Genomic DNA, 20,415 nt, shown 5'->3' with positions numbered 1-20,415 from the left:
TTGTCCAGGACACTGTCATGACCACATGCCTGGATGGGCAGGAAGTCAAGGGGGTCAGTGACTGAGAAGGGTGGGCTGGAGGAGAACAGGAAGAGGCCACAAAGGGGCTGGTGGTTTGAGGCTGCAGCCAAGGGGCGCATGGAGATCAAGTCAGGCCAAAAGCAGAACAGCAAGGACCAGGGTCAGAATGTGGTTGACATTGAGAGGGAATATTGGAAGGGGCAAATTGTACTGAAGAGGCAATATTGTTTCCATTGCCTTTTATACCCTGTTACTTGCAGCATGGAGGCCAGTCCCTTAGTCTTAAAAACACAGCACAGTGTCTCCAAGAGCCTCCTCCTGACCCCAGAGCGCCCCAGCAGATACTGCACTGGACATGAGGCCCATGGTCTGCAAGCCCCTCATCTGCCCTCTTGTGTGCTTCTTTGCAGGAAAGCGTGGACTTGGGAGAGATCATGTTCTCCCTTTGCTACCTGCCCACTGCAGGCAGGCTCACCCTCACAGTGATTAAGTGTCGGAACCTCAAGGCGATGGACATCACAGGCTATTCAGGTACCTCTCTTAACCCAAGTGGCCTGCCAGCAGCCCAGACATTAGGATTTGGAAGGGTGTTCGGGGAGAAGGAGAAAGAATTGTCAGCATTCTTAGAATAGAAGCACCAGCTCTGGACACAAACTGCCTGGATTCGAATTCCAGTTCTGCCACTTCTTTGCTGTGTAAATGATTTGGTTTTCTAGTCTGAAAAGTGGGAGTAATAATATCTTACATGGGTTGCTTTCAGGAGAAATGAGTTAATTCATGTAAATGTTCAGAATGGTGCCTTACACATATAAGCACTCAGTAGATATCATCTGTTGCTGTCATTCTTTCTCTTAGAAGAGGGAGATAACAAGAAGTAAATATATAGGATTTAAAAATTAAGGATAAGTTTTCTTATTTATGTGAGGCCCCAGGGTTATGTCGTTTGAGTGTGTAAATGTTTGCCGGTCTATGCAGGCTTATGGCAGCAATTCTGTGCACTGAGCCAAGGAAACAAATCCACTGAAAAGCAAAATGCATTTGTATTTGAGGCTTTGCTGCAGGCCTCCTGGCCTCAGCCTCAGCACCAAGAGAGCTGCTAGGTACAGCAGGAACATAGAAATATAGTCTTATTCTAGCGACAGAGGAAATGCTTGTTTGGGGGCAGCTGCACAGAGACCTGCAGGATGGACGTAGTGTCAGAGGTTTGAGTCTTTCCCCACAATTCTGCAAGTTGTGGAAGGAGGTATTTGAGTTTGGAAATAACAGAGGAGTAGCTTGAGTCTTGGGAGCCTCCTTCCCTCATCAGCTCAGACTGCTCTGAGGAGTGAAATGGGGTGAAGCCTCTTGGTCTGGGCTGCACTCAGAATTGCAAATGTGGAAAAAAGCTCAGTTTGTTTCCCTAGATCCCCTGTCCTCCTGCTCAAGAGACTCTCGATGATTCAGATTACCAACGTAAAACCACTCAGGAGGTGCTTCTGAACTTAGCTGGGAATATATTAAAGATTTTTCCTCATATTTGCTTTGTATTCTTTATTTATTTGCTGGAAACCCCCTAAGTTGTGGAAGAAGGTATTTGAGTTTGGAAATAACAGAGGAGTAGCTTGAGTCTTGGGTATAATCAGTTGCTGGAAAGAGGTGATGGCCCAGCCGAAAACACCTGGGCTCAGGTGTAACCTGGTGCAACTGGAAGAAGAGGAGGTATCAGGCCTTGAAAACTGAAGTTTCAGGACAAGGTGCTCAGGAAACCCTAGAGTAACATGTGTTTGTTGCAGCTCTGAGTCCCTCAGAGCTACCCACACACATCAGGATGTGGGGAAGAGATTAACGGACCTCTTCTGGCCTGGGAAAAGCTTAGGCAGCAGCAAGTCAGCTTCCCCTAAAATACAGCCAATGTAGATTTCATTTTAATACCAAAATAAGTGCATAACAGGGAAGAAAATTCACTGAAGACTCTCAAGGCTGCTGAGGGAAATAGGATTTTGCTGCCTAAGTCCCCACACTATCTTCTCTGGTGTAATTAAATTGATGTGCTGGAGAGAAAGCCTATGGTGAAGCTGCTGAGGTCATCACAAAAGCTGCTCTGAATCAGAGGGTTTGGGGTGTGAGATTTTGTTCTTGCTAAGTTCTAACCTCCCTTTCACAATTGCCCCTCTTTTTGACCTGGGTTTGGAACCTGTTATTAAACCTTGGCTTGATTCCGAAGATCCAGGGGTCTTCTTTTCATTACAAGTTTCTGTCTATTTTGTTCATTGATGTAAGCAAGTATCTGGAACAGTGGATAAAACACAGTAAGCATTCAATAAATAGATACCGAATGAATGGATGGTTGAATTTACAGCATGAGGAACCTGGCCCAAGGGTGAAGCAGTGGGGGTGTACTTGCTAGGAGCCTCTCGAACTAGATCTCCTGTTCTTGAGGATGAGTTTGAGGTTTCCCTCAGCCCAGACTTATTCGATGTTGGACTAAGCTAGGTATTGAATGGAGCTTATTAATTGCCTATTCTTGAATTGTGTGGCATTGATGTCTAAAACCCAGGATCTTCCTATTCTCAATGATCTAAACTAGCCCTGAATCAATTCTCTAAGCCTATCTGCTAGAACCATGACACTAAAAATAGCACAAAATAATAATAAGGACCAGTATGCTACAAAGGGGTGGTGAGCACATTCTAAATGCTGGATTTTGATTGCTCCCATGACAATGAGGCTGAAATACACTGCTGGTCTTTGTGTCCCCTCCCTCAGCTGCGTAGAGCATCATAGGCTGTTAGAGAGGAAAGGACCTCCAAGATCATCTGGGGCCAGCATTCCACTAGAAACCGCAGACTTTTGCCCCAGAAAAGCCTAGGGAACGGTCATCTGTCTGCTTGGCTTCATGGATGCTGGTGAAAGTGTTGGTTCCTGCAAGGGAAATATGTGCACTGAATTTTATAAATTTCATATCAGCCAGGCACAGTAGCTCATGCCTGTAATCCCAGCTACTCGGGAGGGTGAGGTGGAAGAATCACTTGAGCCCAGAAGTTCAAGACCAGACTGGGCAAAACAGCAAGACCTTGTCTCTTAAAAAAAAATGGATATGCCTTGTAAGGATGAACAGAGTTGGGGAAGGTTGCTAAGACATTTGCTCAGTGGCCCATGGGACAAGTGGCTCTGCCTCTATTTTTCCAAGCCTCATGATATGGAAATCTGCCCTGATGTGGGAGTGTATGGAAATAGGTAGAGCAGGGGAATGAGGCGGCACCTGAGCAACCTCAAGTCTGGAGCCACTTTGCAAGAAAAGGTACATCCTTATGGATTTTGCAAGCTGCTGTGTTAAAGACAGGTATTGGGGCTAGCTCTGCCCATCTGTCTACCTGAACCTGAATAATGTCCTGGGGCATATCCATAGAGAATGGAATCTGTGGAAACCAGAGCCTCATGCCGGTTCTCAAAACTCTTACTTCCATTTTACTGAAAATCCCTAAGAGAGGGTCCTTTCAAATGTGTAGTTTGAGACAGCAGGTTGATTAAACACCTCATGGTCTCTCCATAAACCCAACCTCATCTCCCCATGGTTAAGGCATAGCTACTGCTGCCACATGGATTAGTCGGCAGCTCATTTAGGTGTCTACAAAAATGCCTTTCAGGCTTGGAGTTTCTGATCAGGTGTCACAGTTCTCCCTAATTTCCACCAGGGATGTGTGCCTCATCTGCCATCTGAATGATGCCAGGGAGTACAGGGCCCTAGTGGGTGCTCGATGTCCAGGAGATAGAACCATATGCCTATGAATCACAGAGCTGGGGAGCAGCTGCTTGGCTGGCACCTCCTGACAGATTCACAGGAGCCCTGGCTTCTGGGCAACAAGGTGTCTCAGCACATCAGCGTCTCGAAAGCTATTATTACCTGTGAGCCGCCCTCCCATTTCTTGAGCTGTGCAGCATAAATAACAATTATGATGGTGACCGAGACACCTGTGCTATGAGATACACTAGGTTTCACTTCACTTGGGTGAGTAGAAAATTTCAGGGTAGAAAGATGACCATGAAATACCCATTCAGAAAACTAAAGAAAACAAAAGGATGGGAGGCACATGGAAGTTCAATAAAAGCATCTCTTTGCAGGATGGAGAGAATCCAAGATCCCACTGAGAAAGGAAATGTCAACCAGCTGCCCTGAGTCTCCCCGGGCCACAGCTCCCTCATTCTCCACTGTCCAGAAGTGGGCAGGAAATGGCTTCCAGGGAAGCAGAGAGCAGGGCCACTTCACGCCTTCTAGATGCCAAATGGAAATGGGATTATTGAGACAATGGGACCCAAAATTATGTTGTCAGGTGGGGAGGACATGAACAGCATTGTGATTGTTGCTGTTCATTTCACTCTGACACATTGTGTCTCCCTGGCCATTGTTGAGTCCTATTTTTACCCCGCCCCAAAACCTTTATCCTTTGGTTTGTAATTCTGGTAAAACAAAAAAGCCACTCAAAGAATAGTACTCCACATAGGTAAAAGAAATAGTGTCATTGTTCAGCCTCATCACCTTTTTGAGTCAGCCAGGGATTGACGAGCTGAGATTTAGGGCTGTGAACTGCATACCTATCGGCAGGTGTCATGTCTGATATGGGGCCAGCTTCCCCATTAGTAAAAGTCCATTAGGCGCTCTCCCAAGAATACTGAGGTAGCTAAAGACTCTGCATTTATTAAGCACAGAGTGTCCTCAGAGACAGGTGTGCTACATAAATACAAGGTGGTTTAATTATTTTAACAACCCACTGATACCATCTGATGAGCAGCAGTAGGTCTAGGGCTTCGGTCCCTTTGCTGCAAATGATGTTTGCAGACATCTGTTTAACATACTCCATTCCCTTTTCTCTGTCCCCATTGGCACAGATCCCTATGTGAAAGTGTCCTTGCTCTGTGATGGGCGGAGGCTGAAGAAGAAGAAAACAACCATAAAGAAAAACACTCTCAATCCTGTCTACAATGAGGCCATCATCTTTGACATTCCCCCGGAAAACATGGATCAAGTCAGCCTGCTCATCTCAGTCATGGACTATGATCGGTAGGTAGGCGTCCTAGAGGGACGTAATTCTACCCCTCACTCCCACTCCAGCACCAGCACAGGGCTCCTTGACCTTAGACCTTGTGATTCAGGGCTCAGCTTTAGGGTTCAGGCCTCAAATCTATCTGTACCCAAGAAGGGTGCAGGAGTTTGAGGAAGAGCATAGATTCTCCCTTAGCAAAGGTTCAAAGTTCTTTTCCCAACTGGCCTATCTCCGTCAGGGGCAGCTCTGTCCATCAGTTTCCCTGAATTCACCCCTTGCTATTCCCATTCTTCCATCTGGCACCAAGTCCTATTATCTGGCCTTTGAAATGCCCCTCTATCCTCTCTATTTCTGCTGTTGCTACTACTGTCACCCTGGGATGGCTGTGCAGCCTCCTAGCTGACCCCTGCCTCCATCAATTCCTGCCACAATTCGGTCAACATACTAAGGACACATCTTCCTAAATGACAGCTTTCTTCCTGGACCTGCCCTTCTCAAGAACCATCAATGGCTCCTGTGATCCAGGCTTTTCCCTTGGACTCTGATGGCCTTCCCTAATCTGGACCCAGCATATCCATCCAATCGGATCTCCCCTTCCTCAGATATTTTTCGTCTCTTCCACTCATCCTGCTCTTCCATCTAGGCTGGCTCAAAAACATTTTTCAACTACTCTGGTCCCCATAACTTCTTCTCTCCACTTGTCACTTTAGCTAAAGGAGAAAGAAACCATGCAATAAAGCCTCAATACAGGACTTTCAGCCCAAGTTCTCAGGCATAGTATTGACGAACATACTTAAGAGATAATTGATGTTCTTACCGAGTGAATAAATCACATTCCAGCCACTGGGGTTTTGGAGAAATGGTGCTCAGAGACTGTCGATTTATTTGCAAATACTGATGTCTCAGTGAGGTTGTAATGTGTTGGCGGGGTCAAATAAGTGAAGAGACTTAGACTGTCTCACCTCGCATACTCAGGCTATCTGCCCACCACTTCTTGAGATTCCAAACAAGTTTATAACCTTTGCTCATCTGCCTGTGTCCAGTGTCCACTGAAGGGGACTAGGCAAAGGCTTCACCGCCACTGACACCCAGAAGCCCTGCCAAGCATCTGTTTTCAGAGCTCAGAGTTCTGAGTTAGACCCATCGGGCAGAGTCCTACCACCCCCCACACTGGACCTCCTTTTCTGAGGGCATGTCTGGTAGCCAGTGCTGGGACTTTTGTTTCTCCCTCAGAGTGGGCCACAATGAGATCATAGGAGTCTGTCGTGTGGGGATCACTGCTGAAGGCCTGGGCAGGGACCACTGGAACGAGATGCTGGCATACCCCCGGAAGCCCATCGCACACTGGCACTCCTTGGTGGAGGTAAAGAAATCCTTCAAAGAGGTGGGTGAGGTCACCTGGCCCTTGGCATGTTTGCTGCATGGCAGTGTGGGCTGGAGAATGGCAGTCAGCTGCAGTGACACCCTCGGCCTTTTGTGGAAAGGTGGGCATGAGGGCCACATGCTTCTTACCCAGTGTGTAATAGGCCAAAAGGAAATGGAGGAAGAAGGTGGAGGCTGCCAACACAAAGCCCCTGGTGTTGGGCATTTTGAAAGCAACACTGAGTTCTTAATGGAAAGCAAGAACTGTGAAGAAGACTTCCCAGCAGACCACTGTGCCAGGTCTGAAATGCTTTCACAAAGCCCTTGGCCAAGTCTGTCCTTTAGGAGAAAGCCCCAAGGGGGTGAGATCAGAGCTTGGCAAGACATTCTACCCCTGTCAGAACAGTAAGTTCCCTGAGGCTCAAGCAAGGAAGTCACTTGGCAGTTTTCACTGCTTGGATAGAGATGCCAAAGAGCAGATTCCTCCTCTTATGAATGTTGGTTCTTGCCCTTGTTGGGGAAGGGAGCATGGCCTCAAGGTGTCACGCTTTCTGGCTAAAGCTGTGGAGCTGGGTTGCGTTGGGTTCTAACAGAGACGTAATGGAGACAGCACTGGGCTGGGAGTCCCAAGACTTGGGCTGCAATCTTGGCCCCTCCTGACTTGCTGTATAATCTTGACCCTGTCACTTCTCCCTCAACTGCAAAGAAAATATCCCTTTGAGTAATATCTGCAAACTTCTCCACCCTCCGCTGAATCCCACCGACTTAGGATCCTGTATTCTATCACCGTGGTGGTCCCCAGGCCTGCTTTTTCTCAAATGGATTGGAAGTGTGGGTGACCAAACAAGGCTTAAACCTCACTCACAATATCTCATACCTCGGTCTGTATCCTAGAAAGCTGGATGAATATTCTGTCATCTTAACAGGCTTCAAACCTAACAAGTCTAGAGAGCTGTATAAATTGGAAATTCTACTAATACAAAATAAAGCTTTATCCCTTTCACTGCATGGCCCCTCGGCTTAAAATTGGAGTCACCTTCAAAACAGAGTCATCCCCTCCCCACACTCTATGATGCAGAGAAGTCAGGTCTGCAAACCCATAGAACCTGCCGGCTCCCTGCCCTCTCATGGAGGACAAGCCCATTTCCACCTGTTTCTGGCAGGCTGAGGTGTCTCAGGAGAGCCTGAGAGCCAAGGGGATTGGACCCATGGAAACATAGGTGATAAGGACCTCAGTTGTTGGGGGATGGAGGACAGGCTAATTGAATCACCTCCCTAGACAGGCAGCATGTGCTCTGTGCAGCTCCTGCCCTGTGACCTTTGGGGCAGCATCAAGAGATAAAAAGAAGCAAAGTTTCTGGCAGTTGAGGCTTCATATTTCTGTCTTGTGGGTGCCTTGATTGTCCCATAGCTGTGGAGCTTTAATGAGTGAGGCCAGTCCCTCATCTCTCAGCTCCCCCAGGGGAGCCCCTGCCCCTCTTTTCCAGAAAGACCTTTCTGCAGAGTGTGGGTGAGGAGCCCACAATACAGGAGGCACTGCTGGGCAGAACGCTAGACAACCTGCAGACAGCATCCAGCACCTCACTGAAGGCTGTGTTGGTTCAACCCAGGGAGAGGTCATGACAGCCCCATCCACCCCACCACCCCTCCTCCCCCACTTATCTTCCTTTGGAGATATTTAAGAATAGAACAAGTATACTAAACTGTTTAGGGTGGCTTAGGGGGAGGGCATGGAATGAGAGCTAAGAGGCCTCTGGTCGGCTGTAGGGCCTTAGAAAACTCACTGCCCAGCCAGGCATAGTGGCTCATGCCTGTAATCCCAGCACTTTGGGAGGCCGAGGTGGATGGATCATGAGGTCAGGAGATTGAGACCGTCCTGGCTAACACGGTGAAACCCCGTCTCTACTAAAAATACAAAAAATTAGCCAGGTGTGGTAGCGGGCACCTGTAGTCCCAGCTACTCTGGAGGCTGAGGCAGGAGAATGGCGTGAACCCGGGAGGCGGAGCTTGCAGTGAGCTGAGATCGCACCACTGCACTCCAGCCTGGACAACAGAGCGAGACTCCATCTCAAAAAAAAAAAAGAAAAGAAAACTCACTGCCCCACTCTGGTCTTTGGGTTCCTTGGTAAAATGAGGGGATAAGCCCTTCCCATCTTTGCTTTTCTAGGAAACTCTGACCCTAAGCAATGGCTGGGCCCGTGAGCCCCCATCTTGTGCTGTGACTGCCTTTCTAATCTTCAATCCGCAATAACCCATCCCTGTTACCAGGCTGGGCCTGCCTGTGGAAAATGGAAAGTGACAGAGCAGCGGCTACAGCTGGGGGTGGGGTGTTGAGTACCACAGATGGGCCAGGACTTGGCCCCAGAATCACTCTCCTTCATGATGAATATAACCTAATTAAGCCAAATAATTGATTCCAAGTCCCTGTTTCTTTGAGAACTCTAACTCACTGGTTCAGACTACAAAAGAAAGATAAAATAGAATCAAGCCCTTGAAAATGAATATTTGATGAGACAGTAATGGGAAAGTAACAGTATATGGAAAACAAAAAGAGAATAAATTGATATCCTTTGGGTTTACTTTTTTCCTGACCTTGCAGGCCAAGCTCCCAGGAATGCCCCCTCCCCCACGCACGATCCTGCCATTTTCTGCTCAGCTGATCATTCTCTATATCAAGAAGCTAAAAATGACACTCGTCTCAGCAACCTGGGATTTCCATAGTTCACGTTTATTTAAAATTGTCACTGACACATTTAGCGCCCACAGTTTAAATATCTTTATTAAAATGCATGTAAACCCCCACAGGGCTGACATTAAGTAAGCACCTTGTGTCCACGCGATGCATTGTGCTTGGAGGCAATCCTCCCGCTCATCCTCAGAGCTCACATCCTGCCTTCTTTTCGTTCCCGTTCTGGATATTGAGCAAGAACTTTGCTCCTGAAACTTGTATCTCCCATTTGTATAATCATAAAGAAATCTCCTCCAGCTCCTGGGAAGATAAATGGCATCATATCCGCAAAGCCCTCTGTATTTATCTTGAACCTTTCTTAAGGGATTTTCAAGTGCTGTGATCATTTCTTTTTTATTAATGAGAACAGAGGGCATTATACTTGCTCACTTGTTTGGGGCTCAAAATAAGGCTGAGGGGAACAAATTAACTGAAAAGGTGTCTTTCCCTGCTGGGATTCTTTCATAAATAAAAATTCATTGAGCCATCACAAGTGGCCTTTCCCAGCTGCAGCACCAGCCCCCTTCCCTCTCAGCCCAGAGCCATGTGTCATCATTGTTACCACACACAGAGTTGACCAGCGCTCTTCTCCAAGGCATTTTATTACGGGGGCCGGGTTCAGATCATCTGCCAGAGATGTTAAATCTCTGTTGGAACGTGACCCATTTCAGAGCAACAAAAGACCTTACTGGAACACAGGCATTCTGAAACAATAATCTCCCTGTGTGCTGGGGACAGGTATGCTGCCATTTCAGAGCCACTGTAAGCCTCCTGGAATCATTCGCCTTTCCATTGTCCACAAACCCCATCTCCTCCCTTTGTTTATCTTCATAGGAAAACTCAGACTAGCAGGGGAGCCAGTGTTCCTTCTTCATTTGTTCTAGATAAACAGTTATGCTCCCTGCTACTACTCTTTGGGCTGTTACATAAAGGAAGAAAGACACTCTGTGTAGTCCTTTTATGTTTTCTCCTCTGACCTGGCCTATCAGTCAGGTTGTTTAAGTGGCATGCTTACTCAGGGAAGAAGCCAGTGATTATAATGTACCTTTCACCAACAGTAAAGGTTGTAACAGAAAAGTAGAACTCCTAAAATGAAGGTCTGTTAAATAAGAGCATTAGTAATCATGTGTTGTCACCTTCTGGTTAAGAAACACTTGAGTCAGAAGCCACAGTGGCCTCAACAACCAGGCATTTATTTATCTAAAATATTTCACCAGGGAAACCCTCGGTTGTGATTTCATTCACGTGGATGCTGCAAGCAGAGAGACTGCCACCTGGAGTTAGGAGTAAGTACCTGGTGTGGACCCAAAGACGTTAGGTTGCTTATTACCTTTTGTCTCCTTCTTCCCCTAGTGTGGCCAGATGCTGAGATAGCAGCAGGATGGAGTGGAAAGAACACTTGGTTGGGTGTTAGGAGACCTGGTTTCGGGTTCTGGCTCTGCCCCTAGCTAGCTGTGTCTTGACTTCTCTGTCTTTGTTTTCTTATTTGCGAGAACAAGAAGGTTAGACTGGATCAGCTTCCAAGCCTGCCTCCAGTGCTGACATGCTAAGATTGCTTAGGTCTAGGTCACATAATGGTGGTCATCGGTACCTGATTGTCTGGCCTTTGGTTAGTCATAAAGATCTTCAGCTGGCCTGAACAGGGAGTCCTAAGAAGCCCATGAAGAACCGAGCCCAGAGAAGGGTAACAGAAGCTTTCCTTAGAATTGAAAGCATTAAGGTAGTTTAGTAGGTCTGGGTCCTTCCTGAACTTCATGGGTTTCCCATCTACTCCGCAGGTGATGCTGGATAGAAAGTGATCTATTCCTCAGGTGGCTCGGCCCTTCTAGGAATGGCTGTATTGAGGGAGAACCACATCCTCCCCCGACCCCAAACCTCCATGTATGCATGATGCATAGTAGCAGCTTCTACTCAGCCCCCTCACTCCATAGTGGAGACCCTCAACGCTCATGAGAAGCAGAAGGGGCTGCACTTCCAGGTCAGGAAGGCCATCTTGACCACCTACCTACCTCTTAACTCTGGAGCTCTGTCCTGCAGACACCCAGGACAGTACTGGGTCTCTTCAGCCCACTCCAAGGATGGGTGAGCAGTGGACACTGACTCACTTTGAAGTTATTAACATAAAGCCCCCAGGCAGGTCAAGAATATTCATGGGGTCAGATCTTTGCTCAGTAAATATTGCTGGGGTTATGACTGCTGCAGCGATGACTGGTTAAAGAAGGATTGAATGGTTCAAGTCCACCCAGCCTCAGCCCTGTCCTTCACTCCATTACGCCTCATTACATCACCCCTTTCACAGAAGGGTTAGAGTCAGGCTGATAGGAGGCAGTCTGTGACCTAGGAGAACTGGGGAGGAGAAAGGGGTTGCAGAAGCCCAGAAGGGTCTGCTCACACCTCTACCTCTCCACAAGTCAGGTGCAAATGCCCATAGGAAGAATGAAAAACAAAGGAGACAGCTCAAAGCTAAAGCAGTATCAGATTTTTAGCTGTACTGTCAGCTCCCAGACAAATTGCTAATAATGCATGACCATGGGTTCTTGGCAGTAAGGACATATTCTGCACACTGCCTCTTTCGCTGCTAACATAATATGATTTTCAGTGTGAAAAATGGCTGAAGCACACAGAAATGGCCCAGTCAGAGCACCTCATTCTCACACACACACACACACACACACACACACAGAGAGAGAGAGAGAGAGAGAGAGAGAGTTAAGAAAGCTTTAATTATCTCTGCAGTAGGTCTTTTTGAAAATCAGGTATTCCAAACTAGAAGCTCTAAGCTGTTTCCCTTATGTTTTTGCATGGCTGACAGCAAAATTCAAGAAAGCTTATGAGAAGCTAGGAAAGGTGAATTCAGTGCATTGGGCCAGTTCAGTTTTGCAAGTTGAAATGTAAATTCCTTTAGCAATTAATAAACAGATTGTTCTCCTCTTTGCAGTGGCAGGGCCGAGCTGCTAGCTTCGACAGTGAGAGCTCGTGCCCATCTCCGAAACCACCTCCAACACCATGAGATGTGCAGCCAAATAACACAAATGGGACTCAGCAATGTTCTCTTTGCACTTGTTCAACCGTCTAAACAGTGTTGTGCAGTCGCAGTGGCGGCAGCAGCGGCAGCCGTCCGTCACTCCAGAGTCTTACCTGCTCCTGTGTAGGTCAAAGCTGAGACACTTGTCATGTGGTCAGATCTGTCTTAGTCTTTTGTGTCTCCCAAGGTGATGTTTTTGTGGTTTTTCACTTTTTATGGGTCTGCTGGTAAGAAAAGGGAAAAAAAAAAAGAGTAGGAAAAGACAAAGGGTGGAAAGCCCAGAAGTTGGTTCTAGAAAATACAAGGTACAGTTTTTTGGAAAGAGGTGGATTGAGTTTCTGAAATGCTGCGTCTCCAGCAAGCTCCACAACCCTGGAAAAGGAGGAGGCGTGGTGGGACTGCGGCTGCATTTTCAGTGCCCTGCAGGAATGGGGTGAATCCATGGAAGAGCCTTTGTGAGGTGAATTACTAGTCTTTGAAGCTCTTCGCTGGCAGGACATAAACCACGCTGGGACCCTCAGTCCCGTGTTGAAATCACAAGACCTCTGAGGCGCTTGTGAGCCTTCAGCTGATGTGCAGGGTTCCTCGCTCCCCTTCCTCGCTGGCTTTCCCCATGAATTGAAAACGTCTTGATTCCTCATGGGAACTTAGTCACTTTCTTTAGGAATGATTCAGTTCAGCCGAAACTAAACACGCCATATGTTTTCTGATGCGCCACAGTTAATGATCACATTTGTTTGAAAACAGGATCTTTGTCCTCAGAAATAATCTTGATTGTAAAGTAAGAGAGAAACATATGTTCTGGAATGATTTCTGCATTATACATAGCTTTATAATTCCATGAAGTATCAAGCTGCTGTTTAAAATGCCTAAACAGATTAAAGAAAAACCTAGATTAAATGTTCTTTTCCAAATGGGGAGTTTTGAAATCCAAATAGCAGTTTGAGTCCATCTTTCTATGAAGAGTATGTTTTTGATTGAAACCGAGTCAGCGTAAGCCTATTTCAGCCCCTTTGGCTCTTTGACAATATTCATCTTAAACTTTAGTTCTATAAATTACTAAGTACTTCAGTGTTGTTTGTTTCAGTGGTTGTGAGGGTTTCTTGTTTCCTTTAGATCTTTACCTTAGGCCAAACTCAGTTTAGGAAAAAAAAAATTGTTTGAACTATTCTGTGTTGTAATAGCACATTTCTGTTGAGTTAATAGTGGTCTTCCCACCAACCCCTAAAACCAGGTTGATTTGCTCAATCTCAGTTTGTATAACCCCAGTAAGCGCATGGAGGTGAGTTTCTACTTCGACTTGTGGCGACACAGTGCCAGTTTCCTGAGCTGTGTGTACTACTTGCAAGAGGCAAGTCTGCTGAAGAACCCCTTCTTTTAACAGTGGAAAATCAAGAACAGAAAATCTGTTCACACACCTGTGTCTTATTCTTTATATATGCTACATGGTAGAGGAGCAGCGACCAATAAAGTATCCCTCATTTTAAACCAAGTTGTCAGATTTCTCTGCTGATAGAACGCTGCATAGTATCTTCTAGCCCTAAAAATGACCAGGTTGGGCATGAGTTAACAGGATATTGTGGCAAAAGGAATTTTCTGCTTAGAAAAGTAAATGTAGATAAACCTAAACTCCACCCTGTACTGAGCCTTAGGCTAGGGACTCATGTGTAAAGATGACTTTTCTCCCCAGATATCTTGTCATTGACAGGCCTTCCTAGTCTGGTAGTCCTACATTTGGGTGTTCTCCTGAGAGTGAGAAAAAACCCAAGGTCATGACAAGATTCCTGGCAGGTGACAGACTTCATTATGATTCTGACTCTAGACTGACCCCATCAAGATAGTCGTTTCCGTCAGTGAACAGATGCTGAAGGCCTTGCCATTACAAAGGAGACAACTGAGTTCCCTGGGTCATAAGGAGTCCAGAAATTAGTGTGAGAAGGTCCTTCTGGAAGTGAACTCAAAATTCATGTCCAGCTGTCATCGTTAAACCCTTAGGCAGGTGAGTATAACCCATTCTAACCTCTTGGAGAAGGGAGTGTGATCAATGTGAATCACAATAGTATTGCTCATCTGAGACATTCCTCTTATATCCAAGCAGCTATCTCCCATGAGTGAACATCCCAGTGGTTTCAGAAAATCATGTCCTGAACAGATTCTAGCCAGCCCCACACCACCCTGGCCAACTGCAACCGCTGCTGCTCTAGCAGTCTGGGTCAATTCCTACAGGCTTGGGAGCCCACCCCAGGGAGGCTTTTATCTCCTGCAGCCTCATCCCCAGCACCCTCAAGGTAGACTACTCCTCAGCCTGAATCATGAATGAAACCTGAACATCTGCCAACTTCATTATCTAGCCCAGTATCTCTTCCCTCACAGAGAAGAAGAAAATGAAATACAAAGTTGATCCATTTGTTGGCTTTCTCTGGCCGGAGAAACCTCTCGGGTTGTTGCTGTGAGCTTTGATGAAGTTGTGATAACCAGGGCCATTTGCACATAGGTTTTTTTAAAAAACATGAAAAGTTCCCTTCTCCTTTATTTAGCAGTGTTTCCGGGCTGAAAGACGCCCTCCTCCCCCTCTGCGCTTACCCAGGACGTTAATTAATTGCACTGTCATTTAAAATATTATGTTGTTAATTACTCGTTTGTGTCTTCCCACCCGTGTCACAGCCTGGAGTTTTTATTCAATTAAATCTCTGTCTCTTGCCCATTTCTCTTGTCATTTTATGTTCCTGGGGTTTAGCAGTCAACACACGCACAGGACATCTCAAAGCTTTTCTTCTCAATCTTTGCTTCACATGGATAACCACTTCCCTTCTATCAGAGGTAGAGCAGAACGGCTTGTTTGTTTTTTGTTCTGTCCAAGGAATACCTGTGTACCTCATCAGGCTGGAATCCACCTGTGTTTTGTCAGGCTTGTGGCTCGGAGATCATTTGGCGCACAGGGCTCCGCTGTTCCCTCAGCTGTTCAGCTCAACAAGCAACCCCTGCAGATGCTGAAGCTCCCCTAGGGAAGTGGGCCACACACATCTGGGAAGTACGATGCTGTCACCCACCAGTAGAGAATCCTGCTAACCATCGTAAAACACAATTTGGCAAAGCCATGGGAAAATACTATTGCAGCCTCAACATTTTTTTTTAAAAAAAGAACATTCTAATGTAATAGAATATCTCTCTGCTCGCCTGCAGCTTTTAATTAATTTAGAGAGCAGTCCGTAGAGAGGGGAGTGGAAGGGACCGTCCATTCCTGCACATCTGCATCTGAATGAGGGGTGCTCCACCGTGAGAGGCCCAGTGAGCTGAACTGCTGAGAGCAGCACTCTACTGCCTGAAGAGGCAGCCTCCCCTTGCCAGTGGCTTCCCATCAGGTCACCCAGCAGCCAGCAGGATGTGGCAATGTGCTGGTCACATCTAGAGCTGATAAACCAAAGGGGTCATTGTGTCTGTTAGTATGGGTTGGGCTATGCTGCAATTACAACCTGCAGATTGCAGTAGCTGAAAACCACAAAAGCCTATTTCTCATCCATGATAGGCGCCCATCACAGGTCAGCTAGGAGCCTTGCTCAGCTATCACAGGTCAGCTAGGAGCTTTGCTCATCGTATTTATTCAGGGGCACTCAGGAGGACAGAGCAGCTGACATCTCAAACACTGCTAGTTGCCACCCATAAGGGAGAAGAGCACTTGGAAGGGTCTCCTACTGGCCTAAATGCTCTAGTAACACGTCACTTTTCTTCACAGTCCATTGCCAGAACTACTGATAGAGTCTCACAAAAAAGGCTCGAGTTCCCCAGGGAAAGAAAAACTGGAAATACTGAGTTAGCAGCACCTGGGAAGACCCACAGTGAATGTAAACAGGCCTGTGGAGACTGACAGCTACTGAACGATGGATTCAGAAACACTAACAAACACAGGCATCCATGTGTTCTATTCATTGTCAAATGACTTGCCCACAGAAAGCTTTTAGTCTAGTACAATGGCACTGAGTAACAATAGTTCAAGGTAGAAAATGGAAATGCAGTTAGGGAGGTGAAGTAAAAGGCTATGGAGGTCCAACAAAGAACATCCCAGCTCAGCAAAATGAGTGGCAGCTTCAGGTGCGAAGTGGCTCTGATCTAGGCGTTGAGGCTGAGTGGGATTTGGAAGTGTGGAAGTTGTGGGGAGGAGGCATATTGCAAACTGAGGGGCCCACACAAGTGAAGGTCCAGAGCCAGAATTCCTAGGGCTGCCACTACCCTGAATCTAGGGGAGACAGTGAACCCCCTGAGTTCAAGTGCTACCCTGCTTGCACTAGTCAGCCCAGGCAGAGTGCAGGACTTCTGCCCATGGAGCCCTGCTGTCCCCAGCCCTGGCCCCAACCCACCAGACTCTAGACCTGGCCCCTGTGTAGCTCTTGCCGACTGCCTCCACTGGGAGGTGGACCTGCTGCCCCACCCTCCATTGGTGGCTTGGCACCTGCTCCTCTGACTTTGAGACTCAGTCTAGCAGCCTCATCCCATCCACTTAACCAGGCTTTCCTCCCTGGGCTGTTTATCAGCCAGAAGCCACTTGGGACTTTATGATCTGTGCCACATCCTGCTCTCCTTCAGGGTGAGCCCTATCCAGAGGTCTGATTCCTTAGTAGAAGGAACAGGACCAGCCTCTCCCCAGCTTTCCCTTGGCTGGTTCATAGCAGCAAGCCCATGTGGAGAGACTGGAGGTGAAGAGATGGGCAGGCAGTTGTGGCCGTCCACTCAAGAGGGAGTGTAGGACTGACCCAGACACAGGCAGAGTACCTGTACAACATGTGGTGGTCACAGCCAGATGTGGCGGTTCACACCTGTAATCCCAGCACTTTCAGAAGCCAGGGTGGGAGGATTGCTTGAGCCCAGGAGTTTGAGACCAGCCTGGGCAACATAGCAAGACCCCATCTCTATTTTTAAAAAATTTGATGGTCACAGAGGGAAAACGCAACACCACTGACAGCTGAGCTCATCTGAAAGACAGGGAGAGGAAAGGGGGTTTCCCAAGTGTTGGATGTTTTTATACCTTGGAAACTAAGTGTTCTATGCCTTCCACAGGAACCAGAAATTCAGCAGAGCAAGAAAAAGTGATGAGTCCCATTTGGGCCAAACTCAGTTTGAGATGCTGGAGGGATGTCTAGCAGACAGCTGCAGTTCAAGACGCAGCCTGGCAGCGAGGTCAGGTGTGAGATGTTAGTTTATAGAAACCTTGCACCACAAAGCAATGTGAAGACAGGAGGCTGACGCTGCCAAGTGAGTACAACTAAGCGAGTACAACTAGATGAGGGAGCCTAAAAAGAGGTTCTTCAGGAACCATCAGCATTTAGAGGTCAAGGGAAAAGAAAGTGACGTGAATCATGATGGAGAGGTGCCCAAGCAAGGCTGATTGATGCAAATGCTGATGAACAGAAACAGATCAATCAAGGGCTTCCTAAAATGATTCTTCATAACAAGCGAATCCAAGTTGCTTCAATATAACTCGATTCACGAAAGTCCATTTCCACCTATGTTTGCAGGGCCCCAACTCTTTTTTTGTCTCCCATCAGCTCGGCCCTTGATGTTTTGAAAAGAACTGTGTAAAATATACATCACATAAAATTTACCATTTTTAATTGTATGGTTCAAAGGCATTAAGTACATTCACATTGTTGTGCTAACATCAACGCCATCCATCCACAAAGGTCTTTTCATCTTGCAAAACTAAAACTCTCTACCAATTAAACACTAACACCCCATTCCTCCCTTCCCCCAGCCCCTGGCCACCACCATCCTACTTTCTGTCTTTATGAATTTGACTCCTCTAAGTACTTCATATGAGTGGAATACACAGACTTTTTCTTTCATGGCTGGCTTATTTTACGTAGCATCACGTCCTCAACAGATGTTGTAGTATATGTCAGAATTTCCTTCTGTTCTAAGGCGGAATAATATTCCATTGTATGGATATGCCACATGTTGTTTCTCCATTCACTCATCAATGGCTATCTGGGTGGGTTCCATGTTTTAGCTTTTATGAATGATGCTACTATTATTGTACACTATAGGTGTGCAAACATCTCTTTGAGACCCTGCTTTCAATTCTTTTAGGTGTATACCCAGAAATAGAATTGCTGGACTATATAGTAATTCTGTTTTTAATTTTTTTGAGGAACCACCATACTGTTTTCCATAGCAGCTGCACTATTTTATTACATTCCCATCAGCACTGCACAAGAATTCCAATATCTCCACATCTTCACCAACCCTTGCTTTTATGATAGTAGCCATCCTAATGGGTGTGAAGTAGTATCTCATTGCGGTTTTGATTTGCATTTTCCTAATGGTTAGTGATGTTGACCATCTTTTCATGTGCTTAGTGGCCACTTGTGTGTCTTCTTTGGAAAAAATGTTGACTTAAGCCCTTTGCCCATTTCGAACTGGGTTGTTTCTGTTGTTATTGTTGAGTTGTAGGAGTTTCTCTAAATATTCTGGACATTAATCTTTTATCAGATATGTGATTTGAAAACATTATCTCCTATTCTGTGGGCTGCATTTTAACACTGTTGACCATGTTGTTTGAGGCACAAAAGCTTTTAATTCTGATGAAGTCCAATTTGTCTTTTTTCTTCTGTTGCTTGTGCCTTTGTATCCAGTAAATCATCACCAAATTCAATGTCATGAAGATTTCCTCTGTTTTCTTCTAAGAGTTGTATAGGTTTAGCTCTTTACATTTAGGCCTTTGATCCATTTTGAGTTAGTTTTTCCATATACTCTAAGGTAAGGGTCCTACTTTATTCTTTTGCTTGTGGGTATCCAGTTTTCCCATCATCATTTGTTGAAAAGACTGTCCTTTCTCCCATTGAATGGTCCTGATACTCTTGTCAAAAATCATTTGACCATATATGCAAGGGTTTATTACTAAACTCTCTGTTCTAATTATTTGGTCTATATGTTTGTCTTCATGCCAGTTCCATACTGTTTTGATTACTGTAGCTTCGAAGTAAGCTTTGAAATCAGGAAGAATGAGTCCTTCAACTTTGTTCTTTTTCAAAATTGTTTTGGCTATGTAGGGTTCCCTGAGATTCCATATGAATTTTGGAATGAATTTTTCAATTTCTTTAAAAAACATCATTGGGATTTTAATAGAAATTGTCTTGAATCTGTGGGTTACTTTGGGTAACATAGGCAGGAACCCAACTCTTGAAGACACTATAATCACTCCACAAGGTGCCATTTGCTGACATTCTGTCCATAAATCCACCTCTGCTCTGAGAACCCTCCTGATATACACATGTTGTGATCCTTGGTACAGAACCAAGTACATGTGGAAGTCAAACCTAGCTAACCAGACCTTTTACACTAAACTCAACTCTTACCAAGTCCCTGTGAAAGTCATCTCCCACAACTGCAAGTGTCCTGGCCCAATTCCTAACCCGACAACAGAACTCAATCCTGAAGCCCAGCTTCTCTCTCCTGCGCTACCTCAGCCCCAGAATGCTCAAGAACTTCAACTGGGCTTACTCACATTATGGCAGGCTCACCTCTTTTTCTACATACACATGGGTATTTACTCATCTATTCACTCAAAACACATGTGTTGAGCATCTAAGGTATATCAGGTATCATGTTAGAGATGAGGACATGCAAATTTAATAATAATAATAACTAACATATACTAAGCAGTTACTATATGCCAGGCATTGTTCTAAGTGCTTTACATGCAAAATCTCATCTAATTCTCCCTCCAGCCCTAAGAGGGTAAAGAGCTTGCCCAAGATCATGAAACTGAACCCAGGTAATTAAATCCCAGAGCTCACATGCTTAAGCATGATGCTAAACTGCCTTCTAATAAAACATAGCTCTTTAAGGAGCTCACAATTCAGAGGAGACAAACGAAGAAATAGAAAATTACTCTGTAATATGGTAAAACCAAACCTTGAGAAATACCTGAGATTTAAGACATCCTAGAGAAGGATTACCTAACCCAGACAACTATGCATATCCCTTCATGGTGTACCCCTAAATGTACCTTCTGAAACCCCAGCCTCATCCCTTCCAGGAGAGGGTCCCGTGATGGCCTCTTTGAGAACCATCAGTCATCCATACTAATTTGATCCCCCATATCAATTACTCCTCCAGGAGCAGCTAAAGAGTTGTGGGATCTGCCTATCAAACCCAACCCTAGCCAGTAAACCCAAATGACAATGATGCAAATGATGGACAATGCAAGGAAGAATGAAGTCAGTATAACTTCACAGCTCTACTGAAAAGCAGTGTTGAGCTTC

General features: G+C 45.9%; 1 protein-coding gene across 9 annotated transcripts in view, besides 1 other annotated feature; it reads left to right on the top strand.

Annotated features, from left to right (window-relative positions):
- Positions 1–14,861, top strand: part of SYT6 (synaptotagmin 6) — a 64,578-nt gene extending 49,717 nt beyond the window's left edge. For 4 of the 9 annotated variants that reach the window (NM_001270805.2, NM_001253772.2, NM_001366223.1 and 1 more), the window contains exons 4-8: positions 432–552; positions 4,888–5,059; positions 6,276–6,426; positions 10,350–10,418; positions 12,071–14,861. In NM_001270805.2, the coding sequence (NP_001257734.1) occupies positions 432–552; positions 4,888–5,059; positions 6,276–6,426; positions 10,350–10,367 (462 nt within the window). In that variant the 3' untranslated portion in view covers positions 10,368–10,418; positions 12,071–14,861. Of the gene's footprint in view, positions 1–431; positions 553–4,887; positions 5,060–6,275; positions 6,427–10,349; positions 10,420–12,070 lie in introns of those variants that run through there. The other 5 variants (NM_001366226.1, NM_001366224.1, XM_024453337.2 and 2 more) reach the window with 3 other exon arrangements.
- Positions 11,781–12,282: an enhancer, noted in NCBI's record as "H3K4me1 hESC enhancer chr1:114634493-114634994 (GRCh37/hg19 assembly coordinates)". NCBI's record gives its function as "activates a minimal SCP1, AML or CMV promoter by ChIP-STARR-seq in naive H9 embryonic stem cells {active_cell/tissue: H9 hESC(naive)}" and the evidence as "EXISTENCE:reporter gene assay evidence [ECO:0000049][PMID:30033119]".

This window comes from Homo sapiens, chromosome 1 (assembly GCF_000001405.40).
Source record: "Homo sapiens chromosome 1, GRCh38.p14 Primary Assembly".
NCBI classification, from domain to species: Eukaryota; Metazoa; Chordata; class Mammalia; order Primates; family Hominidae; genus Homo; species Homo sapiens.
Note: the sequence above shows the minus strand (reverse complement) of the source record. Positions and strands in the feature narration are given on the sequence as shown.